The sequence below is a fragment of the Homo sapiens genome, chromosome 7 (assembly GCF_000001405.40).
Source record: "Homo sapiens chromosome 7, GRCh38.p14 Primary Assembly".
Taxonomy (NCBI): Eukaryota; Metazoa; Chordata; class Mammalia; order Primates; family Hominidae; genus Homo; species Homo sapiens.
The window spans coordinates 6,426,352-6,444,374 of record NC_000007.14 but is presented as its reverse complement, the minus strand read 5'-3'; the positions used below and the strand labels follow the sequence as shown (position 1 = coordinate 6,444,374).

Genomic DNA, 18,023 nt, shown 5'->3' with positions numbered 1-18,023 from the left:
CCGCTTCGACCTCCCAAAGTGCTAGGATTACAAGTGTGAGTCACCGCGCCTGGTCCCTTTTATTTTTACATTGTGAGGGTTACAACTATTTTGTTGTTGTTAGAGACAGTGTCTTGCTCTGTTGCCCAGGCTAGAGGGCAGTGGCGCAATCATAGCTCACTGCAGCCTCAAATACCTGGGCTCAAGCAATCCTCTCTTCTCAACCCCCAAGTAGCTGGAAGTACAGGCACGTGCCACCATACCTGGCTAATTTTTTTTATTTTTATTTTTTGTAGAGACAGGGTCTTGCTATATAGCTTAGACTGATCTTGAACTCCTGGGCTCAGGTGATCCTCTCGTCTCGGTCTCCCAAAATGCTAGGATTACAGGGGTGAACCACCGCGTCTGATCACCTATTCTTCATATTTTTTATATGTGTTACAGTTTTCTGTAGATAACCATTTATCTGAGAATGTCTCCAGAAGTGTTGGAAACCTTCCCTGTTGGATTCCTCTGCTTCATAGGATGATGTGAGCACTGTGGTGACTAATAAAGGAATGCATTCTTAGAAATGATTCATTGGTCAGAGGCAGGGCTGTGTGACATGCCACCATCCGCCATGTTTTAGTCCTTTGTCACTGCTTGAATTGGGATGGACGAGGTATGCATATCAGATATATGCTGGTGGTGAGGTGCACTGGGAGGCGCTGGTGATACAGTGAGTGACGGCATCAAGATCTTGACAGTTTGGAATAAAGGACTGAAATGTAAAAGGTGTTAGCTCATAGGAGCAATGTAGAGGGTAGAAATGTTAGCAGCAACATCTTTCATGAGAAAAAGACCTTAGGGTTTGGGATGACCAGCAAGAGTGGCATGTGCCTGATTACCACAGTAACATAGAAAACAGAGCTCTGTGTATTTTATTTTACTTTTTTCTTTTGAGACAGAGTTTTGCCCTTGTTGCCCAGGGCTGGACTGCAATGGCGTAATCTCAGCTCACTGCAACCAACCTCTGCCTCCCAGATTCAAACAATTCTGCCTCAGCCTCCCAACTAGCTGAGATTACAGGCACGTGCCACCACACCCAGCTAATTTTTTTGTATTTTTAGTAGAGACAGTTTCTTTTTTTTTTTTTTTTTTTTTTTTAGTAGAGACAAAGTTTTTTGTTTGTTTTGTTTTGTTTTTTTTGTTTTTTGTTTTTTTTTTCCGGATGGAGTCTCGCTCTTTCACCCAGGCTGGACTGCAGTGGCACTATCTCTATCTCGGCTCACTGTAAGCTCCGCCTCCCGGGTTCACGCCATTCTCCTGCCTCAGCCTCCCAAGTAGCTGGGACTACAGGCGCCCGCCACCGTGCCTGGCTATTTTTTTTTTTTTTTTTGTATTTTTAGAAGAGACGGGGTTTCACTGTGTTAGCCAGGATGGTCTCCATCTCTTGACCTCGTGATCCGCCCGCCTCAGCCTCCCAAAGTGCTGGGATTATAGGCGTGAGCCACTGCACCTGGTCTAGTAGAGACAAAGTTGAACCATGTTGGCCAGGCTGGTCTCGAACTCCTGACCTTAGCTGATCCACCCACCTCATCCTCCCAAAGTGCTGGTATTACAGGTGTGAGCCACTGCACCCAGCTAGCTCTGTGTATTTTAGTATGCCTCTAGAAACATCCACGCAAGGAGGCTGGATTGATGGAGGCTCCACGTTTGTGTTGGCCCCCAAATGTAGGCTGTCATTGGTGCCAGATGCTTAAGGAAAGAAAGAAACCATGTGTACAGTGTGGCTTCAGCGCTGGGAAGCTTCTTATTGAAGGTGAAGTATTGAGACTGGTGTCATTTCAGATACAGCATTATCTAACTTATTTGCCCTTTTTTGTTCATCTCACATTCTGGTTAGACCACTGAGTTTGTGGCTGTAATAGCAGGGTCAGAGTGGAAGCAGTCGGTGTACTTTTTTTTTTCCTTACATGTTTGTTTGTGTTGAGATATTTTTGGTGTTGGGACGTCTTTACCTCCCTGTGAGGGATGCTCATATTCACTCCGTTCCCTCTTCCTAGACACTCGTACAATGCTTGCATCATCATGTACTTGTGGTCAGAGCTCAGAAGTCATCTGTGGGTTGTCGGAGTGTTCTGGGTTGTCTATCCCACAGCCTCCTCCAAACAGAACCCCGTTTTGTTTTGCCCCCATCCCACACATACCAAGTATGCGTCAGAGAAGCAGACCCTAGGCCGGGCTCACGTATTGGTGATTGGTTCAGGAATGGACACGTGACCCAGTTTGGCCCAGTGAGAGTCAGGGAGAGTTTGGTGGAAGGTTCTGGGGAAGTGCTTCCTTGCCCCTCTAGGAAGGATCCAAAAGCCATTTATCGTCGCTCTCCTGGCTGAAGCTGTGTCTCCACTCACAGCGCAGGGCAAGCTGACATACAGGGCAGGGGAGAGCTGGGAGAAGCACAAGGAGATGGAGGCTTGTCTCGGTCAGGGCAGCCCCGATGCCGTCTTGCTTCTGCACTCAGTCGCTCGAGTCATTGTGGCCCTTCCTGCTTTTCAGCCAGTTTGAGTTGAATTTTCTGTAACTTGTGGGTAGAGATATCCCAGCCAAACTGAAAACAGTATTTTATAAAAACATGTTCGTTTAATTGTCAGTTTGTTGCACATAACATTATATGCCTTATTAAAAATATGTATTGAAGGCCAGGCGCGGTGGCTTACACCTGTAATTCCAGCACTCTGGGAGGCTGAGGCGGGTGCATCATGAGGTCAGGAGATCAAGACCATCCTGACTAACACGGTGAAACCCCGTCTCTTCTAAAAATACAAAAAATTAGCTGGGCGTGGTGGCGGGCCCCTGTAGTCACACCTACTCGGGAGGCTGAGGCAGGAGAATCGCTTGAACTCGGGAGGCGGAGGTTGCAGTGAGCCGAGATCGCGCCATTGCACTCCAGCCTGGACGACAGAGTGAGACTCTGTCTCAAAAAAAAAAAAAAGAAAAAAATGTTTGTTTAATTGTCAGTTTGTGGCCGGGCGCGGTGGCTCACGCCTGTAATCCCAGCACTTTGGGAGGCCGAGGCGGGCGAATCATGAGGTGAGGAGATTGAGACCATCCTGGCTAACATGGTGAAACCCCGTCTCTACTAAAAAGTACAAAAAATTAGCCAGGCGTGGTGGCAGCTGCCTGTAGTCCCAGCTACTTGGGAGGCTGAGCCAGGAGAATGGCATGAACCTGGGAGGCGGAGCTTGCAGTGAGCCGAGATCGCGCCACTGCACTCCAGCTTGGGCGACAGAGCGAGACTCCATCTCAAAAAAAAAAAAAAAATTGTCAGTTTGTTACACATAACGTCATATGCCTTATTAAAAATATGTATCGAAAGCTGGGAGCGGTGGCTCATGCCTGTAACCCCAGCACTTTCACAAGAGGGAAACTCCGTCCCCCCCTCAAAAAAAAAACAAAGAAAAAACCAATGGTCAGTAGGAAAATGGGCAAAGAACATGAACATGTAAAGGAAATATAAATGATTGATTGACTGATGGATTGATTTTGAGATGGAATTTTGCTCTGTTGCCCAGGCTGGAGTGCAGTGGTGGGATCTCAGCTCACTGCAACCTCCGCCTCCCAGGTTCAAGCAGTTCTCCTGGCTCAGCCTCCCAATTAACTGGGATTACAGGCACACACTACTATGCCTGTCTAATTTTGTGTTTTTTTGTAGAAACCATGTTGGCCAGGCTGGTCTCGAACTTCCCGCCATGGCCTCCCAAAGTGTTGGGATTACAGGCATGAGCTACTGCACCCGGCCGACATAGCTAACTTCTGTTGTCCCTTTTGTTTCGTAAATCAAGTCCCAGTAGCCTGTCATCTGAGCTGAAAGAATGCTTCTTTAGCTTTTGGCTGATACTCCTCTCTGAAAGGAACATCACAAGATGTGGAGGGAACATTTGGAGCAGGTGGAATTCAGTCCTCTCCATCCAGAAGACTGATCCTCTTCTTCTGTAGCTCAATTGAGGAAAACTTTTTTTTTTTTTTTGGAGACGGAGTTTCGCTTTTGAGTCCCCAGGATGGAGTGCAATGGCATGATCTCGGCTCACCGCAACCTCCGCCTTCTGGGTTCAAGTGATTCTCCTGCCTCAGCCTCCCAAGTAGCTGGGATTACAGGCATGCACCACCACACCTGGCTAATTTTATATTTTTAGTAGAGATGGGGTTTCTCCATGTTGGTCAGGCTGGTCTTGAACTCCAGGTGATCTGCCGCCTCAGCCTCCCAAAGTGCTGGGGATTACAAGCCTGAGCCACTGCACCCGGCATTTGAGGAAAACTTTGATACTGTGGTAGTTTCTTTTTCTTTCTTTTTTTTTTTTTTTTGAGACAGAGTCTTTCTCCATCACCCAGGCTGGAGTGCAGTGGCGTGATCTTAGCTCACTGCATCCTCTACCTCTTGGGTTCGACCGATTCTCCTGCCTCAGCCTCCCGAGTAGCTGGGATTACAGGCGCCCACCACCATGCCTGGCTAATTTTTGTATTTTTAGTAGAGATGGGTTTTTGCCATGTTGGCCAGGCTGGTCTCGAACTCCTGACCTCAGGTGATCCACCCGCCTTGCCCTCCCAAATTGCTCGGATTATAGGTATGAGCCACCGCACCCGGCCTAGTTTCTATTTTTAATTTGAAAACCTCCCAAATGAAATCCCACTGTTGCACCTTGTGGGAGGTTTGATTGGAGATGGTCCACCCTTATGACTACCATGTTTTGACAGAAGAACCCTTTTGACATACAAAGTCTGCCTTGTGCCATGTGTGGCTTTGATTGTGGGATGCCTCCTTGTATCTCCTCTGTGTTTGTATCCCAAGAGCTCATTGCTAAGCTGGGTCAGAGAAGATTGCAGCATTGGCTATAGGAGTTGAGTGTACTGATTCTGGGACCTAGGCCTTCCTTTCATTGCTCTTCCATAAGTGGCTGTGTCTGATGATGGATGATAGGGTTACTTAACCAAGACAGTGGTGAGGACATTACATTTAGGAATGCAGCTGTGCTTGTCGGTTATGGGGCCAGCGACCTTAGGAAGCCTGCTGCGGCAGCCAGGTCCATACTAGCATCTGTTTTTCTTAAGGAAAAATAAAAGGGAAAGTTTTTCTTTTTTTTTTTTTCTTTTTTTTTCTTTTTGAGATAGAGTCTCACTCTGTCGCCCAGGCTGGAGTGCAGTGTCACAGTCTTGGCTTACTGCAACCTCCGCATCCTGGGTTCAAGCAATTCTCTTGCCTCAGCTTCCTGAGTAGCTGGGACTACATGAGCACACCACCATGCCTGGCTAATTTTTTATATTTTAGTAGAGATGAGGTTTCACCATGTCAGCCAGGCTGGTCTCAAACTCCTGAGCTCAGACAGTCCATCCACCTTGGCCTCCCCTGAGCTCAGACAGTCCATCCACCTCGGCCTCCCAAAGTGTTAGGATTACAGGCGTGAGCCACCGCACCCGGCCAGAAATTTTTTCTAGGCAGGCAAAACCGTGTAAAGGAGATTTTCTCAGTACCATCATCATCATCATCATCATCATTATCTTTTTTAAAAAATAATCAGAGATGAGGTCTCTCTGTGTTCCCCAGCGTGGTCTCGAACTCCTGGGCTCAAGCAATCCTCCTGCCTTGGCCACCCAATGTGCTGGGATCAATATCTTATTTTCTGGAACCTTAATCAGAGCAACTCCATCTCTTGATTCCTTGTCTGTGTATTTCATTAATGCAGTATCAGCAGTTGTCATCACAGTTGGAGTTTCAAGTCCAGGTGCTGCTGACATTAGGATGTGTCTGTTTTTAGAATCCCAGCCCTCCAGGAAGCAGTGTGTATGCAGATACTGTTTCCTGTTTCTCTGGGGTGTTTGGCTATTGTTATAACAAGCTCCAAATATAGGACTGTGTTTTTTTTTTTCCACATACCTGCACCCTTTCCCCCTCAGAGAGGTTAGTGTTACAATTATTTAGCTTATAAAATTTTGTCTTTGTGCCAAAAATGAGGCTGTTAGTGCCTAATATTTTATTTATTTATTTATTTTTGCATTTTAAAAATTATTTTTATACTTTAAGTTCTATGGTACATGTGCACAACATGCAGGTTTGTTACATATGTGTACATGTGCCATGTTGGTGTGCTGCACCCGTTACTCGTCATTTACATTAGGTATATCTCCTAATGCTATCCCTCCCTCCTCCCCCACCCAACTACAGGCCCCGGTGTGTGATGTTCCCCACCCTGTGTCCAAGTGTTCTCATTGTTCAGTTCCCACCTATGAGTGAAAACATGCGGTGTTTGGTTTTCTGTCCTTGCGATAGTTTGCTCAGAATGATGGTTTCCAGCTTCATCCATGTCCCTACAAAGGACATGAACTCATCCTTCTTTATGTTAGTGCCTAATATTTTAAAATGTAACTATTTCAGTCATTCTAACAGAAGATAATTTTTTGAATTTAAAAGCTATTTCCTGGTAGGGTGCTGTGGCTCATGCCTGTAATCCCAGCACTTTGCGAGGCAAAGGCGGGCAGATCACTTGAGGTCAGGAGTTCAAGACCAGCCTGGCCAACATGGTGAAACCCAGTCTCTACTAAAAATACAAAAATTAGCCAGGTGTAATGCCTCTAATCCCAGCTACTAGGGAGGCTGAGGCAGGAGAATCACTTGAACCTGGGAGGCGGAGGTTGTGGTAAGCTGAGATCACACTACTGCACTCCAGCCTGGGCGACAGAGTGAGACTCCATCTAAAAAAACAAAAACAAAAATTAACCAAAAAACGCCCACAAAAAAACAACTGTCTATGGGACTATGAGGCCTATTTCAGCGTGGTGGTGTGCACCTGTAGTCCTAGCTACCAGAGAGGCTGAGGTGGGTGGATCACTTGAGCCTGAGAGGTGGAGGCTGCAGTGAGTCATGATTGTGCCACCACACTCCAGCCTGGGCAAGAGAGTGAGACCTTGTCTCCAAAAAGAATGGTAGCTATTACGCTCTCTGAGCTTCAGTTTGCTTGCTCATACGTAAAATGAGATAATGACTAACCCAGTCATTGTGGGGATTACAGAACTACGCACATAAAGTGTTTTAGGTTGGTGTCTAGAACAATGTAGGTCTCAAAGGGACGTGGAGCTTGTTTTCATGGCTGTTAGAACTTGGGTGACCATATATCCCTGTTTGCCTGGGACAGTTCTGTTTTGTGCCTGTTGTCTCAGCATAATTATTACTATTATTATTATTATTATTATTATTATTATTATTATTTTGAGACGGAGTCTTGCTCTGTCACCCAGACTAGAGTGCAGTGGCGCAATCTCAGCTCACTGCAACCTCCGCCTCCTGGGTTCAAGCGATTCTCCTGTCTCAGCCTCCCTCGCAAGTAGCTAGGATTACAGACGCCCGCCACCACGCCTCGCTAATTTTTTAATTTTTAGTAGAGATGAGGTTTCACCATGTTGGCCAGGCTGGTCTCGAACTCCTGACCTCAGGTGATCTACCTGCCTTGGCCTCCTCCCAAAGTGCTGGGAGTACAGGTGTGAGTCACCGTGCCCGGCCCCAGCATAATTATTAATAGTCCCCTTTTTTCCTCTCAGAAGTATACCAGTTTGGGCCATGATTATATTGTCACCCCAGTGAGAACCCAGAAGTGTTTTTAATCCCTGCTAAATCTTAAAAAAGAGCCCAGGACTTCTTGTCACGTTTCCCATCCTCATTTTCTCACTTGCTGTCTGACTTAGGTGCTGATTACCAATTATAAGTAGAAAAAGTCAGGAGGCGGGTGTGCACAGTACAAATGTATGCTCTGCAAAAGCTGTATTTTTGCAAAAAGGAAGCTCTTCATCTCTGAGGAAGCAACTGAGCAGTCGGAACGTTTTTTGTATTTCAGGAACGATTTGTAACCCTGGACCGCGGAAGTCTATGTCTAAGCTGCTTTACATCCGCCTGGCGCTGTTTTTTCCAGAGATGGTCTGGGCCTCTCTGGGGGCTGCCTGGGTGGCAGATGGTGTTCAGTGCGACAGGACAGTTGTAAACGGCATCATCGCAACCGTCGTGGTCAGGTGACATCTCCCTTCTTCTCTTTGAGTTTCAGTGGATTTGAGGCATAGGTGAACAAACCCTTCTAACATGACAGAGAGTCCAGCGTCCCTCGGACTTCCTCAAATAGTTAGAAATTGGAGTTAGTTTCTGCGTAACTCATGAAAATTTAGAGACACTGTTTGTCCATGAAATACAACTCGTCTTTCGTTATGCACGTATTGATGTAGATTTCTTTCCTTACTGGTTCTTTATTTTCTACATTCCCTTCTGTCTCTCTCTCTTTTTTTTTTTTCTTTTTTTCTTAAAGTCTTTTATTCCTAACCCTTCTCTTATAAGAATTCGGAAGAAAACCAAAGACCAAAACCAGAGCAAAAACTAAAACTAAAGGTATGAAAAGAGATACGGTGTCCAGAAGTGGGACAGGGAATAATATTCTAGAACAATAAGGTTTTCGTGTTTTCTAGGCTAAAAATCTTAGAGATGATCCAGTCCCGCCCCCTTAACACCCTCTGTTCTAAATAAGGAATCAGACCTGGGCTGTTGCTGCGTTTCTCGAGTCACACCGCCAGGGGGCAGCAGAGCCCCTTCGGGAGGGGCATTTCCCGGTTGCGTGTGCTCCTCAATCCGGCGTCTTGCAGTGTGAAATATTTAAACATATAGATGAGAGGCCTATCAGAGTACTCTGTGATACCTTCATGAGAAGAGCCCTGAGGCACCGAAGGGGAAGGGCGTATGTCATGGTCCCAGGGCCATATGGAGAAGAAGTGCCCGCTGCATCCGGGCGCAGGCTGCAACTCTGCCCAGCGGACACCTCCCTGTTCCTTCTGTGGCCTTTACTGTTAGGGCAGGGCCTGGGTTAACCACTGATTCATAAGGAACTTTTTTTTTTTTTTCTTTGAGACGGAGTCTCCCTCTGTCGCCCGGCTGGAGTGCAGTGGCGCCTCCTCGGCTCACTGCAATCTCCGACTCTCTGGTTCAAGCGATTCTCCTGCCTCAGCCTCCTCAGAAGCTGGGACTACAGGCACGTGCCACCACACCCAGCTAATTTTTGTGTTTTTAGTAGAGACGGGGTTTCACTATGTTGGCCAGGCTGGTCTCGATCTCCTGACCTCGTGATCTGCCGGCCTCGGCCTCCCAAAGTGCTGGGATTACAGGTGTGAGCCACCATGCCCAGCCTCATAAGGAACTTTCTAGAAGAAAGTTGCTTGCCTCAGGCAGGTTCCAGGAGAGCTGCATCTTCCTCGGTAACAGAACCCTCCGTGGTAGAGACTCAGAAACTGAACCTGGAGGAGGGACCCCGGACATCTGCGTCTGGGCTGGGGCCCGCAGTCACCGAGCCTTTTCCTCTCTCTGTCTTGCAGTTGGATCATCATCGCTGCCACAGTGGTTTCCATTATCATTGTCTTTGACCCTCTTGGGGGGAAAATGGCTCCATATTCCTCTGCCGGCCCCAGCCACCTGGATAGTCATGATTCAAGCCAGTTACTTAATGGCCTCAAGACAGCAGCTACAAGCGTGTGGGAAACCAGAATCAAGCTCTTGTGCTGTTGCATTGGGAAAGACGACCATACTCGGGTTGCTTTTTCGAGTACGGCAGAGCTTTTCTCAACCTACTTTTCAGTAAGCCGAGGGGATCTGGTTTGGTCTGTTTCTTCTGTTTCAGTAAATGCTTCTGATGGAGCCGGTCCCTCTGTTCCCATAAAACCGCGTTTGAGAACCTGGTGTCTTTGGGTGTGTGGGGGGTGGCCGGAGACCCTCTGTCTGTGATGAGCCCTCCAGGGAGCAGTTAACTGCAAGAGCCACACCTTCTCAGACCCTGTGTCCCAATAGGACATGTCTTCGTATTGACACCCACTCACTACCCTGTCAAAATGCTGGATTAGCCTGTAAGGAACCACATAACGGACGCTGTACCCTTTGAGAATAATTTGCAGCTGCTGTTGAGCAGATACCAAGCACAGGCAGTGGCATGAATCGAGGTTGGAATCAGATAGTGAGTGACTTCTTACCACTTTGTATCATGATGGAAATGATCGACGATGCTACTTTTGGAAGACAGTTTGAATAGATGATTGCAGCACAGAAGGGAGCGTCATTCTAGAGCGAGTTCTTCCGCAATTTGAAAATGCTTGTTTTTTTTTTTTCACATGCAGCGTGTCATCTTTTTATATGACATTCTCTGCTAAATGCTGTTAAATTCCATACTGAGATGAGGTAAGGGAGGAAGAGTTCTCTGCTTATCCTGCACACCTGCCAGTCTCTCTTCCCACCTCTGTGCTATCCGACTTGGCACCATTCAGGGCTGGTCCTGGAGCCTGACACCAAGTCATAGCAGCAGCCTCCGTAGAGGGAAGAGGGAAGCGTGTCCCCTCAGTAACTTAAAGAAGTGCTTAAACCTAGTCTTAAGATATCTGGAAGAGGGAAGAAGAGAAGCTGGTTATTTCTAGAGGATGTCGTAATCTACATCACAGGCAGAACTGATGGCTCAGTGGCTGAGTGGCCAGTATATTGTCTTTTTTTTTTTTTTTTTGAGACAAGGTCTCGTTTTGTCACCCGGGCTGGAGTGCAGTGGCGCCATCTTGGCACAACCTCCACCTCCTGTGTTCGAGAGATTCTCCTGCCTCAGCGTACTGAGTAGCTAGAGTACTACAATAGCTGGGATGACAGGCACCTGCCACCACGCCCAGCTAATTTTTGTATTTATAGTAGAGACAGGGTTTCACCATGTTGGCCAGGCTGGTCTCGAACTTCTGACCTCAGGTGATCCGCCCACCTCGGCCTCCCAAAGTGCTGGGATTACAGGCGTGAGTCATCGCACCTGGCAGTATATTGTCCATTCTTACGGGCTACAAGTACCCGGAGGTGATTGAGAATTCCTAATTCCTCCATTTCCTGGAGAAAAAGGACATGTCAGGCCTAAGAAGACTCACTCTCTGTTGCTTTCCCAGCTTGGGGTCCTTTATGAGGCTTGCCATACCCTGTGAGTATGAGTTTAGTCTCATAAATCTCTACCATCCACTGTGTTTCAACAAAACCTTCCCAGCATCTTGAGAAATGAGAGTATAAACGTGGGCTAAAATGGTGCATTGCTACAAAAACGGACAATTTATCCATTGATTTCTCCACTTTACAAAATATTTGAAGTAGATTAAAAATAGTTGAGTCACATGAAGTGAAATTTTAAGACAGACGAATAGCATTTTTATATTCTCCAGTGGACTTGTCTGAGGGCAGGATGTGAAAACATATTCAGGTCACATAGAGAAGCACTCCTGCCAGGAGCAGTCTTTTTAACATACCTCTGTGTCTAGAAATGTCTGTGTGTGCGTGAATGCCTATCAACTATAGAAGACTGGATTTTAGGGAACCCGGGGGTGGTGCCTGCTGGGTTTTATGACAGGCCATTGTGGTTTCCCACCCAGGACACAGATCTGGTGCCCAGCGACATTGCGGCGGGCCTCGCCCTGCTTCATCAGCAACAGGACAATATCAGGAACAACCAAGAGCCTGCCCAGGTGGTCTGCCATGCCCCAGGGAGCTCCCAGGTGAGCCTGGCTTCATGGAGTGTCCAGTTCTGACACTTACACCTTTTGGTGGGTCTTCAGAATCATACAGCTAACCTATAGCAATTTCTTCCTCCCTTCCTTCATTCCCCTTTCCCCTCCCTCCCCTCCCCCTCCTCCCCTTCCCTCCCCTCTCCCACCTTTTTTTTTTTTTTTTTTAAGACGGAGTCTCGCTCTGTCGCCCAGGCTGGAGTGCAGTGGCACAATCGCGGCTTACTGCAAGTTCTGCCTCCCAGGTTCACACCATTCTCCTGCCCCAGCCTCCTGAGTAGCTGGGACTACAGGCGCCTGCCACCACACCTGGCTAATTTTTTTTCTTATTTTTAGTAGAGACGGGGTTTCACCGTGTTAGCCAGGATGGTCTCCATCTCTTCACCTCATGATCTGCCCACCTCAGCCTCCCAAAGTGCTGGGATTACAGGCGTGAGCCACCGTGCCCAGCCTCCCCTCCCCTTTTTTTCTTTTTCTTTTTATGAGATGGAGTTTTGCTCTTGTTGCTCGGGCTGGAGTGCAATGACACAATTGGCTCACCACAACTTCCACCTCCCGGGTGATTCTCCTGCCTCAGCCTCCTGAGTAGCTGGGATTACAGGCGCATACCATCACACTCAGCTAATTTTTTGTATTTTTAGTAGAGATGGGGTTTTGCCATGTTGGCCAGGCTGGTCTCAAACTCATGACCTCAGGTAATCTGCCTGCCTCGGCTTCCCAGAGTGCTGGGATTACAGGCATGAGCCACCACACCGGGCCTATTTTTCATTTTTTTAACTTTTATTTTAGGTTCAGGGGTACATGAGCAGGGTTGTTACACCGGTAAACTCATGTCACGAAGGTTTGTTGTACAGATTATTTTGTCACCCAGGTACTAAGCCTAGGACCCTACAGCAGTTTCATTAGCAGCAGGGTTGGAATCTGATTGGCGGCTTCCACTGGTTGTATTGCATCACCTGTCAGGTGAGGCATCTTCGTTATCAACTGGAGTTCAGGTAGTGGGAACCCATTCCTGGCCACTTTATCATCCATCATATCTTTATTTTTTATTTTATTTTTTGAGACAGAGTCTCTGTCACCCAGGCTGGAGTGCAATGGCATGATCTTGGCTCACTGCACCCTCTGTCTCCTGACTTCAAGCAATTCTCCTGCCTCAGCCTCCACAGTAGCTGGGACTACAGGCGTGCACCACCATGCCCAGCTAATTTTTGTATTTTTAGCAGAGACGGGGTTTCACCGTGTTGGCCAGGCTGTTCTCAAACTCTTAGCCTCAAGTGATTTGCCGGCCTTGGCCCCCCAAAGTGCTGGGATTACAGGCGTGAGCCACTGCATCCGGCCACATTTATCATATCTTTGAAGGCTTATGTTTTAGGAAATTTGCTGTTCAATTCTATGCATTAGAACAATTCCTCCTGGGATGGGGACTGCGATTCTCCCTGGGTGTGTTTGCTTTCTTCTCTGGGGCTGGGGGCAGAAGCAGTTCAGCTTTGCTTGGTGATAATTTTCCTGCCACAGGTTGTTATGTTTTTGAGAAAGAAAATTGCACGTAGACGGTATGTATCTTCGCTGCTCCGGGTTAAGCCACTCAGTTCTTGACAGCTCGTGTGTGGCAGTGGCATGGAAATGTACTAGTTTCAGGCATCTAGATAGGAAGCGCCGGCTCATTTCAGCAAAAACAGCAGAGAAGTCATTGGAGTGTTTTTTACTGTTAACTTCCCCGTGCTTGCTGTGTTCCTATAAAATGAGGAGTCAGGCTGGGCGTGGTGGCTCACGCCTGGCTTCCCAGCACTTTGGGAGGCCAAGGCAGGTTGATCACCTGAGGTCGGGAGTTCGAGACCAGCCTGGCCAACATGGTGAAACCCCGTCTCTACTAAAAATACAAAAATTAGCCGGGTGTGGTGGCGGGTGCCTGTAGTCTCAACGACTTGAGAGGCTGAGGCAGGGGAATTGCTTGAACCTGGGAGGCGGAGGTAGCAGTGAGCTGACATTGTGCCACTGCACTCCAGCCTGGTGACAGAGCGAGACTCTAAAAAAAAAAAAAAATGAGGAGTCCATGTCATCCTTATTGAAGGAGCAGTTTTGCCTGTGGGCGTCTGAGAGTTCTATTCAACGAAGGAGCAGGAAGAGTCAGGAATGAGTTCAGGTTTCAGGTCTCAGTGTGTTGATCCTCTGTGTCAGGAGTTCCCTTAATAAACAGTAGTTTTTGTCCTTCTCTTGTAGGAAGCTGATCTGGATGCAGAATTAGAAAACTGCCATCATTACATGCAGTTTGCAGCAGCGGCCTATGGGTGGCCCCTCTACATCTACAGAAACCCCCTCACGGGGCTGTGCAGGATTGGTGGTGACTGGTGGGTTGGCACAGTCTGAGCCTCCATAGCCATATTTCCCTTAAAAAAAAAAGCTATTTTGAGATATTTCAAAAATTTGAAAGAACAGTGCAAAGAACTCCCATGAATCCTTTACCTAGAGTCACCAGCTGTGACTCATCTGGTCACATGCGCTGTATCTCTCTCTCTCTCTCTCTCCCTCCCTCCCTCCCCCCTGCATATATATATATATATATATATATATATATATGCACATGTATTTTTTTTCCCCGAACCATTTTATTTTTCTCTTTTTGAGACAGAGTTTCACCCTTGCTGCCCAGGCTGGAGTGCAGTGGCGTGATCTCAGCTCACCACAACCTCCGTCTCCCAGGCTCAAGCGGTGCTACTGGCTCAGCCTCCTGAGTAGTTGGAATTACAGGTGCCCGCCACCATGCCCGGCTAATTTTCATTTTTTGAGATGGAGTTTCACTCTGTTGCCCAGGCTGGAGTGCAGTGGCACAATCTCGGCTCACTGCAAGCTCCGCCTCCCTGGTTCACGCCATTCTCCTGCCTCAGCCTCCCGAGTAACTGGGACTACAGGCGCCCGCCACCACTGCTGGCTAATTTTTTGTATTTTTAGTAGAGATGGGGTTTCACCGTGTTAGCCAGGATGGTCTCGATCTCCTGACCTCGTGATCCGTCTGCCTCGGCCTCCCAAAGTGCTGGGATTACAAACATGAGCCACCACGCCCGGCCACACCCGGCTAATTTTCTATTTTTAGTAGAGACGGGGTTTCACTATGTTGGCCAGGCTGGTCTGGAACTCCTGACCTTGTGGTTCACCTGCCTCACCCTCCCAAAGTACTGAGATTACAGGCGTCAGCCACCAGGCCCGGTCTCAGGTAATTTTTGTATGTTTAGTAGAGACAGGATTTCCCCATGTTGACCGGGCTGGTCTCAAACTCCTGACCTCAAGTGATCTGCCTGCCTCAGCCTCCCAGAGTTCTGGGATTACAAGGTGTGAGCCACTGTGCCCAGCCCCAGTAATACCCTTTTTAGCAATTTTTTTCTCCAATCCAGGATGATGCGTTACATCTAGTTGCTGTGTCTCTTTGGTCTCCTTCAAGTTTTAAGTTTCTCAGCCGTTCTTTCCTTTCATGATATTGACATTTTGAAGAGGACAGTGCAGATATTTTGTAGAAGGGCCTTCAATTTGCATTTGTGTGATGGTTTCCCCATGATTAGATTTATGTTTTGCATTTTTGGCGGGAATGGTCCATGACAACCATCCTTCCTAGTGTATCATATCAGGGGATACATGATGCCAGTTTGTCCCATTTCTGGTTATATTAACATTGATTGCTTGGCTGAGGTGGTGACTGCCAGCCTTGAGACCATTTAAATATCTTGTCCCAGGCCGGGCGTGGTGGCTCAGACCTGTAATCCCAGCATTTTGGGAGGTCGAGGCCAGCGGATCACTTGAGCTCAGGAGTTTGAGACCAGCCTGGGCAACCTGGCAAAACTCCATCTCACTAAAAATATAAAAATTAGCTGGGTGTAACAGTGTGTACCTGTAGTCCCAGGTGCTTGGGAGGCTGAGGCAGGAGAAACACTTGAGCCCAGGAGGCTGAGGTTGCAGTGAGCTGGGGTTGCACCACTGTACTCCAGCCTGAGTGACAGAGCAAGACGCTGTCTTAAAAAATAAATTAAATAAATATATATGTCTATATCCCACCAGGTGCAGTGGCTCATGCCTATAATCCCAGCACTTTGGGAGGCCAAGGCGGGCTGATCACCTGAGGTCAGGAGTTCAAGACCATCCTGACCAACACGGTGACACCCCGTCTCTACTAAAAATACAGAAATTAGCTGGACATGGTTGCACACACCTGTAATCACAGCTACTCGGGAGGTTGAGGCAGGAGAATCGCTTGAACCAGGGAGTTGGAGGTTGCAGTGAGTGGAGATCACACCATTGCCCTGCAGCCTAAGCAACAGAGCAAGATTCTGTCTCAAAAAGAAAAAAAAAAAAGAAACCAAAACAAAACAAAAAACAAGTAAGTAAATGTCCTATCCCTCTCTGAATTCTCATCTGGCAGTACAGCATCCATTGATTCTTGTCTGAATCACTTATTACCAGGATGGTGGCAAAATCATGATTTTTCTTTTTCTTTCTTTCTTTCTTTTTTTTTTTTTTTTTTTTGAGACAGAGTCTCAGGATCCTGGCTCACTGCAACCTCCATCTCCCAGGTTCAAGTGATTCTCCTGCCTCAGCCTCCCGAGTAGCTGGGATTACAGGCCTGCACCACCATACTCGGCTAGTTTTTTGTAATTTTAATAGAGACAGGTTTTCGCTGTGTTGGCCAGGCTGGTCGAACTCCTGACCTCAGGTGATCCACTCGCCTTGGCCTCCCAAAGTGGTTGGATTACAGGCATGAGCCACCGCACCTGGCCAAAATTGTGATTTTTCTAAATTCATCATTTCTTCTACATTAATTGTCATTCTCCTATAAAAAAGAGCTTTTTATCCCTACATCTTACTGTCAATATGGATTTATAGATTCTTAAATTATTCAGTGGGTTGTAATTATGACTGTTTATTTTGTATTAAGTACAGTGTTTATTTGATGCTCAAAATGTTCCAGATTTTGTCCTGCAGACTGGCTCCAGTGTTCTTTTCATATGACCCCATCATGTTCTGAGCACTTCCTAACCTCTGGATTTTGCTTTTTCTTTTTTTGGGACTGTTGCCCAGGCTAGAGTATAGTGGTATCATCACGGCTTACTGTAACACCATACCCTCAACCTCCTGGGCTCAAGTGATTCACCTGCCTCGGTCTCCCAAAGTCCTGGGATTACAGGTGTAAGCCACCACGCCTATGTATTTATTTTAAAGATCATGAGATTTTACTAATATCTTTTTTTTGTTTGTCTTTTAAGAGACGGGGTTCTCTCACCTCAGCCTCCCAAGTAGCTGGGACTACAGGCATGCACTGCCAGACCCAGATAATTTTTAAAAATGTTTTAAATTAATAAATTTCTTTTTAGAGACAGTTTTGCTTTGTGGCCCAGGCTGGTCTCCAACACTTGAGCGATCCTCCCGCCTCAGCCTCCCAAAGTGCTGGCATCATGGGTGTCAGTCTCCTGGCCCTGATATCTTTTAATTCTAGTCCAAAGCCACAGAGTTTCTCTTTGCTTCTCCACATCATGTCTGCAAAGAGAAGCTTGGCTCCCAGCAACATCAGCGTGAGTTACCCATGCTCAGTCCCCTATTACTAAGAAAATAGTTTCAGAATTGCTATACCCAGTTCCACTACAAAAAGGGCATCTGCTAAGTACAGTTTGCGATGTGTTTGTAGTTTTTTTAGTTTTTATTTTTATTTATTTTAATTTAATTTAATTGTATTTTTTGAGACGGAGTCTCACTCTGTCACCTAGGCTGGAGTGCAGTGGCGCGATCTCAGTTCACTGCAACCTCTGCCTCCCAGTTGCAAGCAAGTCTCCTGCCTCAGCGTCCCGAGTAGCTGGGATTACAGGCGCCTGCCACCACACCTGGCTGAGTTTTGTATTTTTAGTAGAGGTGGGGTTCCAGCACGTTGGCCAGACTGGTCTCGAACTCCTGACTTCAGGTGATCCACCTGCCTCGATCTCCCAGAGTGCCGGATTACAGGCATCAGCCACCACGCCCGGCCTCTTTTTGTTTTTTAAACGTAGAGCACAGTACTCAAAAGTTACTTCTATGATTTCTTGTTTATTTTCTACGGAGTTGGCTGTGCTGTTCATTTGGACAGGTTTGCTTTACCTGCTTCTGTTGGCATTCAGTTTTAGGGACTTGCCCATCCTTGTTGATGAATTTTTTGAATATAGAAATCATTAACATGATGCCAGAAGTCAGAACTCTATCCAAGAAGTGTACACAGAGAGGTATTATCTTTAATAAGCCATTCCGGGCCCAGTGCAGTGGCTCACGCTTATAATCCCAGCACTTTGGGAGGCCAAGACGGGCAGTTCGCCTGAGGTCAGGAGTTTAAAACCATCCTGGCCAACATGGCGAAACTCTATCTGTACTGAAAATACAAAAACTAGCCGGGCATGGAGGTGCACGCATGTAATCCCAGCTACTCAGGAGGCTGAGGCAGGGGAATCGCCTGAACCTGGGAGGCGGAG

At 47.2% G+C, this 18,023-nt stretch overlaps 1 protein-coding gene across 2 annotated transcripts in view, besides 2 other annotated features; it reads left to right on the top strand.

Moving 5' to 3' along the window:
* Positions 1–18,023, top strand: part of DAGLB (diacylglycerol lipase beta) — a 38,826-nt gene that overhangs the window by 3,580 nt on the left and 17,223 nt on the right. The window contains exons 3-6 of one of the 2 annotated variants that reach the window (NM_139179.4): positions 7,842–8,013; positions 9,355–9,613; positions 11,416–11,538; positions 13,768–13,895. In NM_139179.4, the coding sequence (NP_631918.3) occupies positions 7,842–8,013; positions 9,355–9,613; positions 11,416–11,538; positions 13,768–13,895 (682 nt within the window). The remainder of the gene's footprint in view (positions 1–7,841; positions 8,014–9,354; positions 9,614–11,415; positions 11,539–13,767; positions 13,896–18,023) is intronic. The other variant, NM_001142936.2, reaches the window with a different exon arrangement.
* Positions 4,830–5,030: a silencer, noted in NCBI's record as "peak6358 fragment used in MPRA reporter construct". NCBI's record gives its function as "represses an SCP1 promoter by STARR-seq MPRAs in K562 erythroleukemia cells {active_cell/tissue: K562}" and the evidence as "EXISTENCE:reporter gene assay evidence [ECO:0000049][PMID:32103011]".
* Positions 7,740–7,849: an enhancer, noted in NCBI's record as "active region_25623". NCBI's record gives its function as "activates an Ori minimal core promoter by ATAC-STARR-seq in GM12878 lymphoblastoid cells {active_cell/tissue: GM12878}" and the evidence as "EXISTENCE:reporter gene assay evidence [ECO:0000049][PMID:35858748]".